The sequence below is a fragment of the Homo sapiens genome, chromosome 17 (assembly GCF_000001405.40).
Source record: "Homo sapiens chromosome 17, GRCh38.p14 Primary Assembly".
Classification (NCBI taxonomy): Eukaryota; Metazoa; Chordata; class Mammalia; order Primates; family Hominidae; genus Homo; species Homo sapiens.
This window is the reverse complement of record NC_000017.11, coordinates 77,640,772-77,658,889: the sequence shown is the minus strand read 5'-3', so window position 1 is coordinate 77,658,889 and position 18,118 is coordinate 77,640,772. Positions and strand designations below refer to the sequence as shown.

At 49.5% G+C, this 18,118-nt stretch overlaps 3 annotated features.

The window, feature by feature from the left end:
• Positions 10,799-11,373: an enhancer, noted in NCBI's record as "H3K27ac-H3K4me1 hESC enhancer chr17:75643599-75644173 (GRCh37/hg19 assembly coordinates)". NCBI's record gives its function as "activates a minimal SCP1, AML or CMV promoter by ChIP-STARR-seq in naive and primed H9 embryonic stem cells {active_cell/tissue: H9 hESC(naive and primed)}" and the evidence as "EXISTENCE:reporter gene assay evidence [ECO:0000049][PMID:30033119]".
• Positions 12,749-13,312: an enhancer, noted in NCBI's record as "H3K4me1 hESC enhancer chr17:75641660-75642223 (GRCh37/hg19 assembly coordinates)". NCBI's record gives its function as "activates a minimal SCP1, AML or CMV promoter by ChIP-STARR-seq in naive H9 embryonic stem cells {active_cell/tissue: H9 hESC(naive)}" and the evidence as "EXISTENCE:reporter gene assay evidence [ECO:0000049][PMID:30033119]".
• Positions 14,098-14,267: an enhancer, noted in NCBI's record as "experimental_47431 CRE fragment used in MPRA reporter constructs". NCBI's record gives its function as "activates a minimal promoter by MPRAs in K562 erythroleukemia cells, with activity observed for both the introgressed and non-introgressed 17:75640790 variant alleles {active_cell/tissue: K562}" and the evidence as "EXISTENCE:reporter gene assay evidence [ECO:0000049][PMID:34662402]".

Below are 18,118 nucleotides of genomic sequence, written 5' to 3'. Positions count from 1 at the left end.
GAACATACCCCAATTTGGGTTCTTCTGATGTTTCTTAGTGATCGGTTCAGGTCAGGCATTTTTTCTGGGAACGCCATGGAAGTGACACTGCGTCCTCCCCAGTGCATCATATCTGGAGGCACCTGGCCCTTTGTCATCATATTGGTGAAACTACCCTTAATCATGTGGTTCAGGTGCTGTCTGCCAGGTGTTTCCACAATGACGTTACTCTCTTCTCTTTGTATTTAATAAACAATTTGTGAAGAGATGTTTGGAGGTGCATAAATACCTTGATCTTAATTGTGCTCTCACCCACTAATGTCAGCATCTGTTGGTGACCTTTCTGTCGCTGTCATCCCTTCTGTATTTATTCCTTGGCATCCTACCATGAAGGTTTCCCTGCCCCCGGTTGTTTGTTTCCATGGACTTTTGTTCCCTGTAATGTTCCGTCATCTCCAAATTCCCCTCCATGCCAACCCCGTACTGAAGACATCAGCAACAGGTTCAACCCTAACATACTTTTCAGGCTGGCTGGCCACTTCCTCCTTAGAGTTAGAACAACCCAGAATTATGGACACTCACTTAATTCAGCAAAATGCTTTTACAGATAGCGTGGCTGAAGCTAAAAGGAGAGAAGGGAAATGCCAAGAGGAACAGTACCATGGCAGAGCTTGGGCTCCTGGCCTGGTACTTGTAGCTGGGGAAGCGTCCCTGGGAGCAGAGCTCTCTGCAGTTGCCGGGACTTGCTGGCTGTGACTTAGCAACAGTGGTTCCAGTGCCTTATGAGATAGAAACTCCTTGGGTACTGGCTTTGTGTTGTTCCCATCTGTGTCCCCCAGAGCCACGTCACAGGCTCTCTAATTAGGATGCCCTCCCAGAGACATGTTGGGCAAATGAATGAATAAACACATGACTTAAATTCGAGAGGATCCAACCAGTGCCTGGGCAGAAGAAACCCGTAAGAAGGCAGAAGTGTGTGTCAACAATAGGAAGCAGGCGGCTTTCTATTGGCTGGTTATTGGTTTCTAACTAGCTAGGTACCAACTGCAGAGGATGATTAGGGACCACTCCCAGAGAAGCCAGCCAAACTCAGCTCTCCTCTGAGATGCACAAGAGGTAACATTCAAAATCTTTCCCCCAAAACTCTAATAACATGAAAGCACATTCAGCAAACGGTCTTCAGACTTTGGTTTCCTCATTGAAAATGACAACTATGGATTTTATTATCTCTAAGGTCCCTGCCCCTTGCTGTGATGCTAGAATCTAGAACTATAATCTACCCAGGACCTTACCAGCTTTAATTAAGACAGCATCTCTTACGTAAAACCAAGAAATAATTAGCCCTAACAGTAGAAGCAGAAACAGATTCGTGATTCATGATTTTTCTAATTGTTCTCCCTTCTGCACACTTGAACCTCCCCTCCCCTGCCTGGAGTAACATATGTTCTACATGCACACGGACAAATAGAATACACACGAGCATAAATGAGCAGGATTGGGCGGGGTGGAGCAGGCGGGGGGAGCTGATTCTCAGCCAGCTGCTCACTGTTTTCCCACTCTGGGTGTCTCTCGGCACTGGGTGCAGAGGAACAGAATCCTGTTATCTTGCTCGCCAGCACGATGTACTATAAAACATCCATAAATTCCCTGACATTCTAGTGACCTTCGTAGGGTCTGAAAGAGCCACATTTTACACCAAAGATGGAGCTGTAAATATTCTATCTGTGCAGTAAACACCGCACTGACGCTGGCACCTCGCTCATGTCCTCTGTGCCACCACCTCTCAGAAGAGATGGATTTACTGCCATGGAAAATTCCGGCCCCAAGGCAGGCGGCTTGCCACAACCCAGCATCTCAGCATCTTGCTTCTTGCTGCTGCCTGCTCTCATCACACACACACACACACACACACACACACACACACACTCACGCACGCACACACACTCACCCCCTCCCGTGATTATAAAGCCGGGAGGAGGAAAGCCCCTGAGAAAATTATCCTGGAGCATATCACACGGTGTTAGTGGGTTTTCCAGGTGGCAGGCTTTAGAATGATTTATATTTCATTCTTTTTCTTTTTGCTTATCTGAATTTTAATTTTTCTGCAATAGTCAAATGGGACCTGGCGCAGTGGCTCACGCCTGTAATCCCAACATTTGGGAGGCCGAGACAGGTAGATCACTGAAGGTCGGGAGTTCAAGACCACCTTGGCCAAGATGGTGAAACCCTGTCTCTACTAAAAACACAAAAATTAGCTAGGTATGGTGGTGGGTGCCTGTAATCCCAGCTACTCGGGAGGCTGAGGCAGGAGAATCACTTGAACCTGGGAGGCGGAGTTTGCAGTGAGCCAAGCTCCCACCACTACACACGAGTCTGAATGTGACAGAGCAAGACCCCTTCTAAAAAAAAAAAAGTCAAAAAGTCAAGCAGGTCTTATCTAATTTTTAAATTTTTTTTTAATAAAATACTTTATTTATGGGCAATCACCCCCTGGGAGAAAGGGACTCTAGGAGTGCCAGGATGCCACCTCCACCCCCAGCTCCTGGAACTCTTGGCAGGTCACTTGGCCAGTTGAGTGGCCCAGGCTAATCCTTCCTTCTTGGAGGGGTAAATGGCGGACCTGGGAAGTGCAGGCACCCGGTGGGTTCTTGGCCGAGGGGGACAGTTGTGGTGATCCTCGTTTCTTATGGCTGAGAGTTACCTTAGGGGTTTTCAAAATCCTCTTCTCATCCTTCTCTCAAGACAGCTCTCGGGGCGTGGATGGTCAGTGCAGGCCGGCAGCACCGCCTGTCTCCCATCCACCCCGAGCCTGTTCATCCAGGGTGCAGAGTGCAGGATGGGAATCACTAAGATACCAAGCAGAAAAGGCTGGACCCGCCCTCCACCCTGCAGCCTCTGTCCAGCCTGCAGGAGGGTCAAAGGCAGGGTCTGAGGCAGGGCTGAACCTCATCTCTTGAGGGGGTGAGGGGCAAGCAGGGGGAATGATTGTGGGGCCCTCTGAGCTGCTGGGGAGGTGACCATGGTTCCCGAGTTCCTAGCAGGGCCCTCTCTGAAGACCCCCAAAGGGAGTCAGCCTTGGACTGACAATGGGGAGGAGAGGGATGGTGTGGCTGGGTCTTCGGGGGTGGCAGAGGGTAAACCCACATTAAGGGGCTCCACTTCCATGTCCAGGCCTGCCTCATACTTTGCTGGCCATCACAATGACCCCAAGAGCCAGGTTTTAGGATTCCCAGGTGGAGATTCAGAAACAGCCTTGAGAGGGGATAGGATTTGCCCAGGGTCTCCCAGCTAGGTGGGGTCAAGATGACAGCAGAATCAAACCATTCCACTGCAGTCTGCAGCCTTTCCTCTGCTCCTCGCTGCCCACAGGGGCCCAGCACAGACCCCCACAGCCACCATGGTGTGACCCAAAACATACGAGGGGCAGCTCCTTCCAAACCGGGGGCTCTCAGGGAGCACGGGGCAGCCTCCCAGGGGCCAGGTCTTGCCCAGCTGGGAAAACCTCTGTGCTCTCAGCTTGGTGTAGGCAGAAAGAGACAGACGAACCAATTACTCCCAAAAATCAAATCCCAGCCTCCTCAGCCTCAACCTTTCCTCCCCAGAGAGGAGGACTTCACTTCCCCTGTCCACCCACCTCTACCCGAGAAATCAGGGGTTAACCATAAGCGCCTCATCCCGCCTCCCCGCTGTGGCTCCTCACCCTCCAACTTATTTCTGCGATTGTAATTAAGGTCCTGACAGAGAGGGTTGGCTGCCCTGAGCTCTTAGCTCCATTTATTGATGAGCCATTTCTCAGAAGTTCATTACCATCCCGAGGCCGGGGATGGGAAACCGGGTCTCTGTGGTTTCTCAAGGCTTGGGCTGCTCCCGATGATTGAATGCAAGCACAACACATCCATCCTGCATGAGCAGCTCTACCCAAGGTCACACATTCATGCAAAACAGAAGCCGGGATCTGCATGTTTAAATATCAGCAGCGGGCATGCCCGCAAGACAATTCTGAAAGCGGGAGAGGGGAAAGACAGGGAGGCAAGAAAGAATGACAGGAAATGGCCCGTGGAGAGAAAGGAGGCTCCTGCAAGGATTCCTACACCCAACACAAAAACCTGGGGTCCCCCACACCCAAACAATGGCTACAAAGTGGGCTTTCCACATAGAAACCTGTGTATCCTAATGGATAAAAACCCAAGGATAAGAATGAAAAATTGGCGTCTTAGCCTCTGAGTGACCCAGAAACAGGGCCCGCCTGAGACAGGTTTGCTGGGGGGATTTTATTGAGAAGTGTGGCTCCAGGGAGCAGACAGGAGGGGTGGGAGGGATACACTTTTGCTTGGGCTGGGAGATGGTGGTGGGACTGGACTTTGGCTTCCGTCCCCTCTGGACATTGGCCCCCACACTCTGGGTGGCACCAGGCCTTGCCCAGGTGAGGCGCTGTCAGGAGGCCCTGCCAGGCAGACACCAGCCTGAGCCCCAGCAGAGCACGAGCTCCAGGGAAAGAGGAGGCAAGGCAGGCCTGGAGAAGAGGTGTTGGCTACAACCAGGAACGAGGTGCCTGCTCACCTGAGCATGCTAAGTGCCTGTTGGGGTTCAGCACCTCCCCATACAACCCCCCATCCTGCCCTTGGGATGGGACCTATGGACTGGGAAGGAATGGTGCCGAGCATTCATCAGACAATCTCTGGATCCACAAAAATGTGTGACCGTGATGTGGGCCACGAAGGAGAGGCAGTGGGATTGAGAACCAGGAGGAACAAGAGGAAGGTCCCCTGGCAATGGAAGATCAGGAGAAATCAGAAGAGGCTTCTCGGAGGAAGTGGTGGATCAGGGCAAGATCTCAGGAGAGACAGGGGTTTCCTGGGTGAAAAGGATGGAGGCATTCCCAGCCTGTGCCGAGGGCTGCCGTGTGTCTGATGGCTGACCTTGGGCAGGTGGGCTGGAGCTCAAAGTAGGGGCAGGCAGCAGGGAGGAGGGCAGGACCACCTGCTGCAGGTGACCATCGGCACCTGGGCTTTATCTTCAGACCTTTAAGGAAGGCACTGAGAGCATTAAGGGGGGAAGGAAGACATTATCGCTTTTGCATTTTGAAAAATTTACTCCAGTTGTTCTACAGAGAATGGAGTAGAAGGAGGTGGGAGAAGAGTTGGGAGGCGGGGACCACTGTCCAGGCAAGAGGTGATGGAGATTTGGGTGGTGGTGAAGAAGGTGGAGAGAGGAGGTGATTGAGATATTTGGAGGGCGGTAAAATCATAGGCCTTGGTGATGGTTTAGACAAGAGGGTGGAGGGAGGGGATACAAGGATGATTCTAGGTTTAGGGAACTGGTAAAAAAATGGGATCTGCAGCAGTTATGAAGAAGGTAGATTTCTGGATGCTGACATGGGAAGAGGCACAGGCACACTGTTCATGCACAGACCCAGGTCTGGAAGGCCATATACACCCAGGCGGTGAAAGTGGTCACTTTGAATGGAGAAGGCAGACAGGAGAGAGAGGGACGTCCACTGTTTACACTATGAAATGGACCAACAGGTTTGGTCCATGAGTTGCTCATATATAGTAATTTAACCTTTTAAATACTTTTTAAAAAAAGGCCAATAAGCACATGCAAAGATGCTTGCATCATTAATCCAGGAGATGAAAACTAAAAACAAAATGAGATACCACTATGCAGCTGCTAGAAGGCTAAAATTTAAAGACTGAGAACACCAAATGTTGATGAGAATGTGGAACAGTTGGAACTCTCCTACATCGCCGGTGGGGATGTAAAATGGTATAGCTGCTTTGGGCCGGGTGCGGTGGTTCACGCCTGTAATCCCAGCACTTTGGGAGGCCGAGGCGGGCAGATCACGAGGTCAGGAGATTGAGACCATCCTGGCTAACATGGTGAAACCCCATCTCTACTAGAAACACACACACACACACACACACAAAATAATTAGCCAGGTGTGGTGGCGAGTGCCTGTATTCCCAGCTACTCGGGAGGCTGAGGCAGGAGAATGGCATGAACCTGGGAGGTGGAGCTTGCAGTGAACCGAGATCAGGCCACTGCATTCCAGGCTGGGCAACAGAGCGAGACTCCGTCTCAAAAAACAAAAAACAAAAAACAACACCAAAAAATACTGGTATAGCTACTTTGGAAACTAGCGGTTTCTTATGAAGCTAAACATACACTTATCATATGACCCAGGAATCTCAGCCCAAGAGAAATAAAAACATGTGTGCATACACAGACCTGTGCATGAACACTCAGGGGATCCTTGCTTATCATAGCCCAAAATTTGCCACATGCATGTATCTATATCTAGTAAATAGATCAACAAGCAAAGTACGCCCCTACACTGAAAGATTACTCCATACTAAAAAGGAAATAACTATTGACACATGGAACCACGTGGATGCATCTCAAAGGCATTATGTCAACTGAAAGAAGCCAGAGGCAGCTCAATGCACAAAACATGGTGTGATGTTGTGATATAATAAGAAATATATACTTAGTCTTCATCCCAGTTCCTGGCACAGAGCTCCTAAAACCTTTGTAATTTTCTGAGTGATAGGGGTGGTAGGAGTGTCTTTTGTTATAATATGTAGTCTCAGTCTTTGGTTCCTGATGCAAGAGTTTCTAAGACCCTTGGAATCCCTGAAGTTGGCAAGAGTTTCTAAGGCCCTTGGAATCCCTGAAGTTGTCTTTTTGTATGTTAATGAGATGACTGGTGGCCAGAGCCCCCTACGCAGCTTCAGGGTGGAGCTGGGTGCAGGGAAGACCAACCATGTGATTGGAGGGTTGGAACTTTCAGCTCCACCCAGTGACCTTCGAGGAGGGAGGAACGGCTCGAGATTGAGTCAATCACCAGTGGCCAATGATTTAATCAATGATGCCTATGTAACAGAACCATCAAACCCCCTAAACTATGAGGTTCAGAGAGCATCCGGGTTGGTGAACATGTGCAAGTGACAGATGGGTGGCTGAAAGGCGTGGAAGCTCCCTGCCCCTTTCCTCATACATTGCGCTAAGCATGTTCTTCCATTTGGCTAATCCTGAATTGCATCCTTAATAATAAAGCAGTACATGTAAGAAAATTGTTTTTCCTGAGTTCTGTGAATTGCTCCAGCAAATTATCAAATCCAAGGAGCGGGGCATAAGAACTCTTGACTGTGTAGCCAAGCTGGACAGAAGTGTGGGTACCCTGGGTACCCACAATATTTGCAGTGGGGGCAGTCTTGTGGGATGGAGCCCTTAACCTGCGGAGTCTGACACTCACTCTCGGCAATTAATGAGTTGAACCATTGGACACCCAGTTGGTGTCTGGAGAGTTGGAGAATTGACTGTTGGGGAAAAAAGCCCACACATTTGGTATCAAAAGTGTTCTGTGTGTAGAAACAAATAATGAGTAGCATAATCTGTGATTCCGTTTGTGTGATATTCCAGAGAAGACAAAATAATAGGAGCAGCAAGTGGATCAGTATTGCCTGCTGGGAAGGGAGGGAATGTCCCCAAAGGGACATGAGTGAAATTTTCAGGTGATATAAATATTCCATATCTTAATTATGATGGTTGTTACATGGGTATATACGTTTTCCAAAATGTTTTAAATGGCACACTTATAGAGGCTGACTTTTGTTGTATATAAACTATACCTTAATATATCTGACATTTTTTAAAACTGAGGGGAAACACAGAGTTTTTTTAGGTGAAACTATTGTATATGATATTGTAATAGTGGATACATGACGCTGTGCATTTGCCCCAGCCCACAGAACTTCACGGCCCAAAGAACGAATCTTAATGTATGCAAAATTTTTGAAGTCATTTAGAAGGTCAGGAGATCCTAAGGTGGAATGCAGAATGTGACCAAAGAATCCAAACATATTCCAAATGCATGAAACAGTCTCGCCAATGTGGACAGAGGAAAAGATGCTCACTTAAGTAACTTTGGGAACGAGCAGAGTCTGTGAAACTAAAGGCAAAAGGAACTGTACACAAGCACTGCGCTGTAATTGATAAAGCTGTGTCCCATACTGGTATGGGTTCATGATTCTGAAAACAGTATATATGTCTACAGGAACTGAACAACTAGGTAAATGGATGGCAGATGGTGGGAGGCAGCTTCTACAAAGCAGTTGTGACATTAATTCCCCAGAGTTAGGCCAAACCTCACAAGTCAAGCACACAGTCCTCCCCAGACTGCCCTCACTTCAGACACCAGCTGAATGAAGCTTGGGGGCCCCTCACTTCTGACCAGCTGGCGACAAATGCAGGCGTTCCCATGACCCACTCAGGTTTGGTAATTTGCAACAATGCCTCACAGGACCCAGGAAAGCATTATACTTGCTATTACAGTTTTCTTATAGCAAAAAAGATACAATCAGGACTAGCTGAAAGAAGAGACTCATAAGGCAAGACCAGGGAGGGTCCCAAATGTGAAGCTTCTGCATGTTCTCCCTCTGGAGTCAGGATGCATCATTTTCCCCCCACGCTGATGTGCATGATATGAAGAGTGCTGTTAACCTCGGAAGTTCACCCAAGCTTTGGGGACTGTAGGAGATCGATCAGGTGGGAAAAACTGTAGAAAGATGCAAACCTCCTTAGAAGGCCAGGGGTCTGCAAAGCTTTGAAAGAAAATTTGGCTGAAGGCAGCTGAATTCTCTGAAGAGCTTAAGTTAGATAACGAAAGGATGTAAAGAAACTGATGTTGATAAGTTAGTTTACTTAGGCCTCAAAACCTGGCTTTAATCATCTGCACCCAAGACTACTCTCTCTGGGGTGGGGGTGGTGACCACGTTGATTAACCACAAGTGTGTTGACTCAAAGCCTTTGTCATGAAATCTGTGCTGAATAAATATCCGCAGTGCCAGCTGGTCAAGGCTGTGGCTGCCGACTCTTTACAGCACCCTCCTCAGGGTCTGTAAGCAGCCCAGTCCCCTAGCCTGCTCTTTCACTGGATACCTGTCTCTGAGTGCATTCCTTCATCCGTCGTTTGGCCAAAGTCTATGGGCTGGACCCGCCAGGGGACCAGAGTTTCTATGGGGTTTTATTATGTAGGAATGATTGATTGAGTCACTGGCCACATGATGGAGCTCAATCTCCTCCCTGGAGGCTAAGCTGATACCACGTGGTTCAAAGCCCCATCCCTCCATCCCTCCAACCACACAGTTGGCCTTTCTGGCCTGGCCAGCCTCCATCTTGAATCATCTCGTTAGAATGAACTATCTAGGGGCCCACCATGTGTTACCTCCTTAGCACAACCCCAGGAATTGTCCAAGGGTCCCACTGTGAACAACAAAGATTCTCCTATCACAGGAAATTCAAGGGTTTAGAGACTCTTCCCCAGGAAGCAGGAACAAATACCAGCCAAACCAGCCTTTACCACAGTTTCACATTGCATTTGGAATGAAAAGTTACAAACAAGCAAGGAGAGAAAGTTAGAATGATGCATGCAATTATGGATGAGATTTGGAGAAGTCACTATCAACTCATATTTAATATATGTATTTACAGATGAACTATACTTGACATAGATACAGGTAGTTGCATTTAGAAAGGGGTATAGATGCATATATACACGGATTAGTATAAACATGTATATCTTCTTTCCTGTCTGCTGAGAGGGCCTAAAAAAAATGACATCCCAGGAGTTATGAGCACACTCTGTACCAGCCTATGGTTGCTACCTTCTCTAGTAAAAAGAACCAGGGCCCCTTGGAGAAATGACTAATTCTTGGATTGGGCCTGGAAAGATACAAAATGAGTCTGGAGCATGATGTAGTATCAGAAAGTAAGGAAACACAAAAAAACAAAACAAAACAAAACAAAACAAAAAACAACCACATTAATGGGATATGTCAAAGGGACACAGGAACCAACTGAAAGAGCTCCCGATGGCCAAGGCTGGGACAACTTGAGCAACAAAGTAAATAACATTGCATTGGGTCATCACCCAAAGTATGAAATAAATAGCCATGAGTCTATATGGATATAAATAAATGATTAAATAGGACAATAAACGGGGAAGAATACGTAAATCTAGCTTGCAGAGAATGTATGTACATATCCCACTCTCAAGAAGGTGGAACATCAACATGGCAAAACCCCGTTTCTACTAAAAATACAAAAATTAGCTGGGCACAGGGGCAGGCATCTGTAGCCCCAGCTACTTGGGAGGCTGAGGCATGCAAATCTCTTGAACCTGGGAGGCAGAGGCTGCAGTGAGCAGAGATCATGTCACTGCACTCCAGCCTGGGTGATAGAGCGAGACTCTGTCTCAAAAAAAAAAACAAACAAACAAAGAAGGTGGAACATAACTCTCCTCTGTTTAAGTGTGGGCCCTGCACAGTGACTTCCTTGTACAGAGTACAGTATGGAAAGGGGTAAAAAGGTAACTCCACAGAGAAGAACCCTGACAGACACGATCTCAGCCAGGCAATCAAGGTCACCATCACTGGCAACAAGTTCTGTTGATAGTGCATACCCTTGATATGACAAGTTCACAACGCCACTTTACCTGTGTGCTCTTCCTCCCCAAGACCCATAACCTCCATCTAATCATAAGAAAAACATCCGACAACCCCCAATAGAGGAACATTCTACAAAATGCCTGACCAGGAATCCACACGACTGTTGAGGTCACCAAAAATAAGGAAAGACTGAGAAACTGTCACAGCCAAGAGGAGTCTAAGGAGATGAAGCCTGAGTGTCATGCGGGGTCCTGGATGGGCTCCTGGGACAGGAAAAGGACAGTAGGTAAAAACTAGGGAAGTCTGAATAAATTATAGGCTTGAGTGAATAATAATGTGCCAATATGGATTAATTAATTGTGACAAATGTACCAGAATAATATCAGATGCTAATGAGGGTGTAGGCATTACCCTGCTAAACCAGCAACCTCAGAGTTTCCAGGGTTGGCTGCAGAAGGAGGCCCTGCATACAGGTAAGGCCAACGCAGTCCTGCAGGAGATTCTTAATCTCATCGATTTTAGGCCTGACCATGGGCCTTTAGACATTGCTTCTCAAGGTAGATCTTGGCCTTAAAGTGGATGCTGACCCTTCCAGGCCCTGCAAAGAGCACGCCATGAGACGCCAGTGTGCTTTTGAACGTGCACCTAGGCCTCCAAGGGGCAGCCATGGTTTTCCAGCGGGGATTCTGCCTTGGCAACCTCCAGGAGCACCTGCCACGGCTGGGCTCTGGGTCCTAAGGTGCAGGGATCACCCTGAAAGTGTAGCGGCCATGAGGGTGGTGGGGGCAGGAGCTCGTGCAGGAGAGTGAAAACCAAGGATGTGCAACTGCTTGCAAAGCAGAAAGTGCACTAACACACATGGAAATCCGCACAGCCATCTCCAGCTTGCACGAAAGTACACTAAACACACAGAAATCCGCACGGCCATCTCCAGCTTGCACGAAAGTACACTAAACACACGGAAATCCGCACGGCCATCTCCAGCTTGCACGAAAGTACACTAAACACACGGAAATCCGCACGGCCATCTCCAGCTTGCACGAAAGTACACTAAACACACGGAAATCCGCACGGCCATCTCCAGGTTGCACAAAAGTGCACTAACACACACAGAAATCCGCACAGCCATCTCCAGCTTGCACAAAAGTACACTAAATACACGGAAATCCACACAGCCATCTCCAGCTTGCACAATTGTGCCTCTTTTTAAAACACATATTTGTTTAAAATTAGCCGGACGTGGTGGCACATGCCTGTAATCCCAGCTACTCAGGAGGCTGAGACAGGAGAATTGCTTGAACCCGGGAGGCGGAGGTTGCAGTGAGTAGAGATGGCGCCATTGCACTCCAGCCGGGACAATAGAGCAAGACTCTATCTCAAATATGTTTTTATTCTTTTCTGTATTTTCCAGAATGAGGACAGATTTCCCTTAAGGTCAGACCCCTGCCCCGCAAAAGCTTTCTTTTTATTTTTTGAGACAGAGTCTTGCTCTGTCACCCAGGGTGGACTGCAGTGGCATGATCTCAGCTCATTGCAACCTCCACCTCCTGGGTTCAAGCGATTCTCCTGCCTCAGCCTCCCCAGTAGCTGGGATTACAGGCGCTTGTCACCATGCCCAGCTAATTTTTGTATTTTTAGTAGAGACAGGGTTTCACCATATTGGCCAGGCTGGTCTCGAACTCCTGACCTCAGGTGATCTGCCCACCTTGGCCTCCCAAAGTGCTGGGATTATAGATGTGAGCCACCGTGCCCGGCCAAGCTTTCTTTTTTTATATAAAGCTATGGTTAAAAATGTCTTTTTCACCATTCACATCTTTGGGTAAGAATGTTAACTGTGAAACAGAGGACTGTGAATGCAGTGTAGTGTCTGTCTGTCTCTGTCACTCCCACACGTCCTCCCAACAAGGTTAGTTAAACATGCGAGCTTTAGGTGGCTGCCCTACTAAACCTCTTTTCTCAAAGGAGATGAAGGCCTGTTTTCAATATGTTTGTGAAACAGAAAGGACTTCCTTTCACCAGCCTGAACACAAGCAAAATTCAGATGTATTTCTCCATAGAAGAGAAGCTGTCACCCGGAGTGGCATCACCCCCACCCCCAGCCCCTCGGTGTCTGTCTCCCGCTGTGTCCACCCAGAGTTTCCCACGGCAGACAGTGCCTACCAAGCTCCAGGGGCACCTAGGGAGACGGCCACCAGCTCTGAGGACCCCACAGACAGAAAATCCCCCAATTATTAGGAAATGTAGGTCCCCTGGCCCTCCCCACCGTGCCCACTCGGAACCCGGCCTCGGGTACCCTGGGCCTCATTCCTAGCTTGCCTCCAATGCTGATGGTTTTCACGCCCTGATTGTCATCTCCCGAGTGTCTCTTTAGGATTGGGAGCCACAAGTCACCATAGAGGAGGAGCATGGCTCTGGGATCCCATCTCTGTGCCTGGTTCCTGTACAGTCTTTGAATAAGCCTCTGATGGCCTCTGGGACCCTCCTTTCCCCTTCCCAGGGCTCGGAGCCCTGCTGTACTGGAGCCTTTAGGAATGTGACATTGTTTTGGCCAGGGTTACTTCCTGCAACTACAAAACCCCCCAAAGGAAACAGTAAACCAGCCGCAAAGTTGCAGCGTCCTTAGATGCCACTGCTGGGCAGGGGGGGTGGTGGTGGAGGAGAAGCCTCGTCACCCAGGATGAAATAAGAGCCTGGTGGTTTAGATGGGGGAGGAGGGAAGGGAAGAAAAGTCTTTCTGGGCCATTTCACTCCTCTTTAAGTACAGAAGCTTAGGCTAAAAGAGCATTTCACGGGGCTGAGCTGTGGCCCCGGGGGACCCCGGCTGCCCCCGGAAGGGCTCTCGCCCCGCGGCGTCCCCTCCCGAGTCCCATGCAGGGACGTCAAAGTGAAGCCTTCACCATCATCACCCAAAAAGAACGTGTGCAAGATGTGACCGTTTGTCACCGAGATGGAGTATATGATATGAACCATGGCAAACACCGTAATGACTAATTTCAAACATTTATTACAATTCTTGAGAGACTTGAAAGCTGTCCCCGCTCTTGATTTTAATAAATGCAGTCTTGAAGCAGCCGCTTATCAAAGTGACACAAATTGTGTGGTAAATAGATTATGGCACAGCTGAAATACTGGAAAATGAGATCAGAAATGCTCCTTCTCCTCCATTTAAAACTCCCCGAGATCCTTCAGCCTGAGCCGCAGGGCGAGGCAGCCACCGGGAGCGTGGAGGTGAGAGGATTAGCCCCCAGCGGAGGCAGCTTTTCATCTGCTGCTCACTGAGGCCCCCTGCAGCAGAGCCCGGGAGGCCAGGGTGCCTTCTTCTTGCCCCGGCCCAGCTGGGATGGGGGTCCCAGAATGGGGGAGGAAGGAGAAGGTGGGTCTTGGGTGGGGGCTGAAGCTGGAAGGGGATACTGGTCAGGGGGCTATGGGCACTGACTCACCCGGGGAAGCTCCGCTAGAAAATGCCCCCACCCCCATCTTTTATGCCTCCCTAGCACAGGTTCAATGACTAGCGGATTCCTACTCCCTTCAGCGGTTGGCAGCTCCTGGGCTCTGAGTCTCTCTCCAATCCCTGTCTCCTGGAGCACCTGCCATGTGCCGGGCATAGTGCTAGAGGCTTGGCACACACAGATGGGCAGGGCCAGGCAGATGTTCTTAAGGGGCTTCCAGTCTGGAGGGGGAGGCTGACTTACACACAGTGACATGCTGGGCCTGCCTGGACGTTGGCCAGAGGTAACAGAAGATCCTGGGCAGCCGACCCAGCGCTGTGGGGTGTCTCCTGGCCAGATGGCCTGTGTCCTTGGACCCTGCCCTGCCCAGGATCCCAGGCCCCTTGTCCAGGCTGCCTCCCTCACTCTTCCCTCTGAAGACAGACTGACCAGAGGAAGGTCCCCAGCTTCCCAAAAGGGCAAGGAAATGGGGGGACCCTCTCCTCTGTTCTCCTTAAATCCCTGAACCCAGGAATGGTTGAGACTTGCAGGTTCACAGGACTCATTCACCGCAGGTGGTTCCCTCCTAAAGGGAGGATGCAGTTAGAATCCGTCCTGTGAGCTGTTGCTTAGCACATCCATGAAAAGGCAAATACATGGCCTCTGTGTAGATGCAGGCAGCCACCCTTCCTCGCAAGGACAGCGGCTTCAGGGAGAGCTCCACGGCGCTTTCCAGGAACCTCCATATCAGAATTACAGGAGCAGTGTGGCGTCCCAGAACCTCATTGGTAACTAATTGCCAATGTAACTAGACACATGCTGTTCATCAATGCCAATTAATATTCAAATAAAAAGCACGGCACGTCTATTTATGTGCAGTTTGATGTCCCTGTAAGAAGCCTCATTCTTCAGACTGCCTCCTCCCTCCCCTTCCCTGGGGGGAGGCCACCCCCTTTGCAGCAGTCACCACTGGGGAAGGTGTTCACTGGAGATACTTTGTAGCTAAACTGTAACTCAGCCTCCTCCATGGCCACAGCTGCTCCTGGATCTGGGCACTGGACAAGGTGGCCACCCAACCTCCTCTTGATCAATTCTCCTTTCCTTGTACATCCAAGGACTCAGGACCCGCTCTGTGCTGTTTTTCACTCACAGAGAATGGGGTGGCGGTTTTGCCAAGCGCTTACTCAGGGCATGATAACTCTGAGGAGCAATTCCTATCTGTTTTTAAAAAGTAGGCATTGAATTAAGATATTAAATCATTTATATATTTATACCCAAGTTCATAGATATTAAATTTTACTATTTATTAAATGTTAATCATTCATTAGGTTTCTCAAATTAAACATCAAACCTCTAACAAATTAAATTTAAATAATTAAGTCTATTATTAGAGAGAGAGATTGCCGAGATGGAGGTGGAAGGAAATGCATTCCAGAAACTATTTTTTTTTTTTTAGTCAAAAGAGCACAGGGCCTTGTTATCTCCATGATACATATGGGGAATGGAAGACATGGGAAGTCAGAGGATTTGACCTTGGCCGCCATGCTAATGTAGCTCTGAGCTGGGCTGCAAACCCGCACCTGGTAATGTCCAGGATCCAGTCCGCTGTTTGGACCACACAGAGTATGTTGGATCTTTATGATATGAGGACAGGAGGGTTTGTCAGGCCAGGTTACAGACAGGATGCAAAATACGCTCATTTCCCAGGAGGAAAGGAGGTGAGGAGATGGGGTATTGCGTAGAGGGAACAAACACAGGTGGGGTCCCACAGAGGGAACAGTGGGTACCCAGGGAAGAGAAGAGGGTACCCAACACCCAAGGAGGGCGTGAAGGAGAGGGCAGGTAGAGACAGAACCGGAACATAGACCAGCCGCAGCACCTCAGAGGCTGGGGCACCCCCGTGGAGCTCACTCCTCTGCAGGCCTGTAGCGGGTAGAATGGTGCCCCCAAACCCGTATGTTCATATCCTAATCCCCAGAACCTGTGAATGTGACTGTATTTGGGAAAAGGGTCTTTGAGGATGTAGTGAAGTATCTCAGATGAGATCCTCCTAGATTATCTCAATGACAAATGTCCTTATAAGAAACTCAAGAGGGGTGGGCAAGGTGGCTCACACCTGTAATCTCAGCACTTTGGGAGGCCGAAGCTGGTGGATCACCTGAGGTCAGGAGCTCGAGACCAGCCTGACCAACATGGTAAAACCCTGTCTCTACTAAAAATACAAAATCAGCTGGGTGTAGTGGTGGGCACCTGTAATCTCAGCTACTTGGGAGACTGAGGCAGGAGAATCGCTCAAACCCAGGAGGCAGAGGTTGCAGTGAGCCGAGATCGCGCCACTGCACTCCAGCCTGGGCAATAAGAGTGAAATTCCGTCCCAAGAAAAAATAAAAATAAAAATAAAAAAGAAACTCAAGAAGAGAAGAACAGAGAGAAGAAGAGAAGGGCGCATAAAGACAGAGGCAGAGGTTGGAATGGTGCCACCACAGTGCGGGAATCAAGATGACCACCAGAAGCTGGAAGAGGCAGAGAACAGAATCCCCTAGGGCCTCTGCCAGGAGCACGACCCTGATGACCTCTTGATTTCAGACTCCCAACCTCAGCACTGTGAGAAGGGACACTGCTGTTGTTCTACGCCACCCAGTTTGTAGGAATTTGTTACAGCAGCCCTAGGAAGCTAATACAATGCCAATGGAACTTGCCTGTTCCCTCTGTGACAATGTCATGGAAAGATGCTGCAGGGAGGCCCTGCCCCCACCCCAGCTATGCCAGGCTCTGCTTGGCCCATTCCTCTGCAAAAGGATGCAGCACCGTGCTTGGGGCACTCACCATCCAATCAGCAGGGAGGGAGGGGGCCTACCTGACTTGTTGGGGCAGGGCCGGTGTGGAGGAAGGAGTTGCTCTCTCTACCACTCAGATTCAGGCCAGTGACAGACAGCATGGACAGCCACAGACAGGCTGTGATTTTTAAAAAATTCTACCCATGGAAATCCAAACTTATACGGACATGGGTTGGTCATGGTTAATCCTATCGTAAAATGATTCTTCACTTTACAACCAGCTGCTGCTGCCACTCCTCTTCCTCCTCCTCCTCCTTCCCTTCCTCCTCCTCCTCCTCCTGTTCCTTGTCCTCCTCCTCTTCCTCTCCTCCTCTTCCTCCTCCTTCTTCTTTGTCTTCGTCTTTGTCTTCATCTTCGTCTTCCTTGATAGGGTCTTGCTCTGTCACCCAGGCTGGAGTACAGTGGCATAATCACAGCTCATTGCAGCCATGAAGTCCTGGGCTCAGGGAATCCTCCTGCCTTAACCTGGGATTACAGGTGTGAGACACCACATTTGGCTAATTTTTAATTTTTAATTTTGTAGAGATGGGGTCTTGCTCTGTTGCCCAGGCTGATCTCCAACTCCTGGCCTCAAGTGATCCTCCCACCTCAGCCTCCTAAAGCACTGGCATTGCAGGTGTGAGCCACGGTGCTGCACCGCAAGCAGCTTCTTCTAAACAGAAGACCCTTTGGTCCATTTCAAGTATCGATGGATTTTGCTGATCACTTGCTGAGGCAGCTTTCACCCCTTCAGGGGTCACTCCCCGGCTGCATTTCCACCCTTAGGTTCAAGCCTGAACAGATCGCCCAGCCTCCAGGCAAAGCTACATCTCCCCTTCTGCCCTGCTCATCCTCCTGGCATCCTGGCCCTCATTGGCCTCCCAGCTCTAGGCTCTGCCCACTGTGTCCCACAATCCAGGATGCCACTGTCTTGCTCAAAGCCCTAAACTTCCTCACTGCCAAACAAACTCAGCACACACTCAACCACCTGCCATGCAAAGCCATGCAGACATGGCCTCAGCAACCTTTCTGGTCTTTTCTCCACCTGCACCCATGTAGACTCAGAGCTCCAGGCATGCTGAGCACAATAGAGACCTCTGGCTGTAGTCTAAGTGCTCCCCAGCGCTCCCCCGGCCCTGGCTCCTGCTCTTACCCTCTCCTGGAGGAATGCCTTCCCTCCCTTGACTTCTAGTACTTGCAGCCCGGTCACAGTACAAGGTTCACCTCCAATGAGATCTCTCCCACAAGGTCTCTTCAGTCTCCCTCAGAAGGATATGACCCTCCCCATGGAACTCTTCCCACCCCCACCACCGCCCACACACGCACATGGAATTTGCTCCCAGGGTCCTCTTTGCACTCCGTATATGACACCTTCATTCAGCTTCTTTGCTGCAGAGGACACATCTCATGGTGCACAGAGTGCAGACTTCGGGGTCAGAAGACCCAG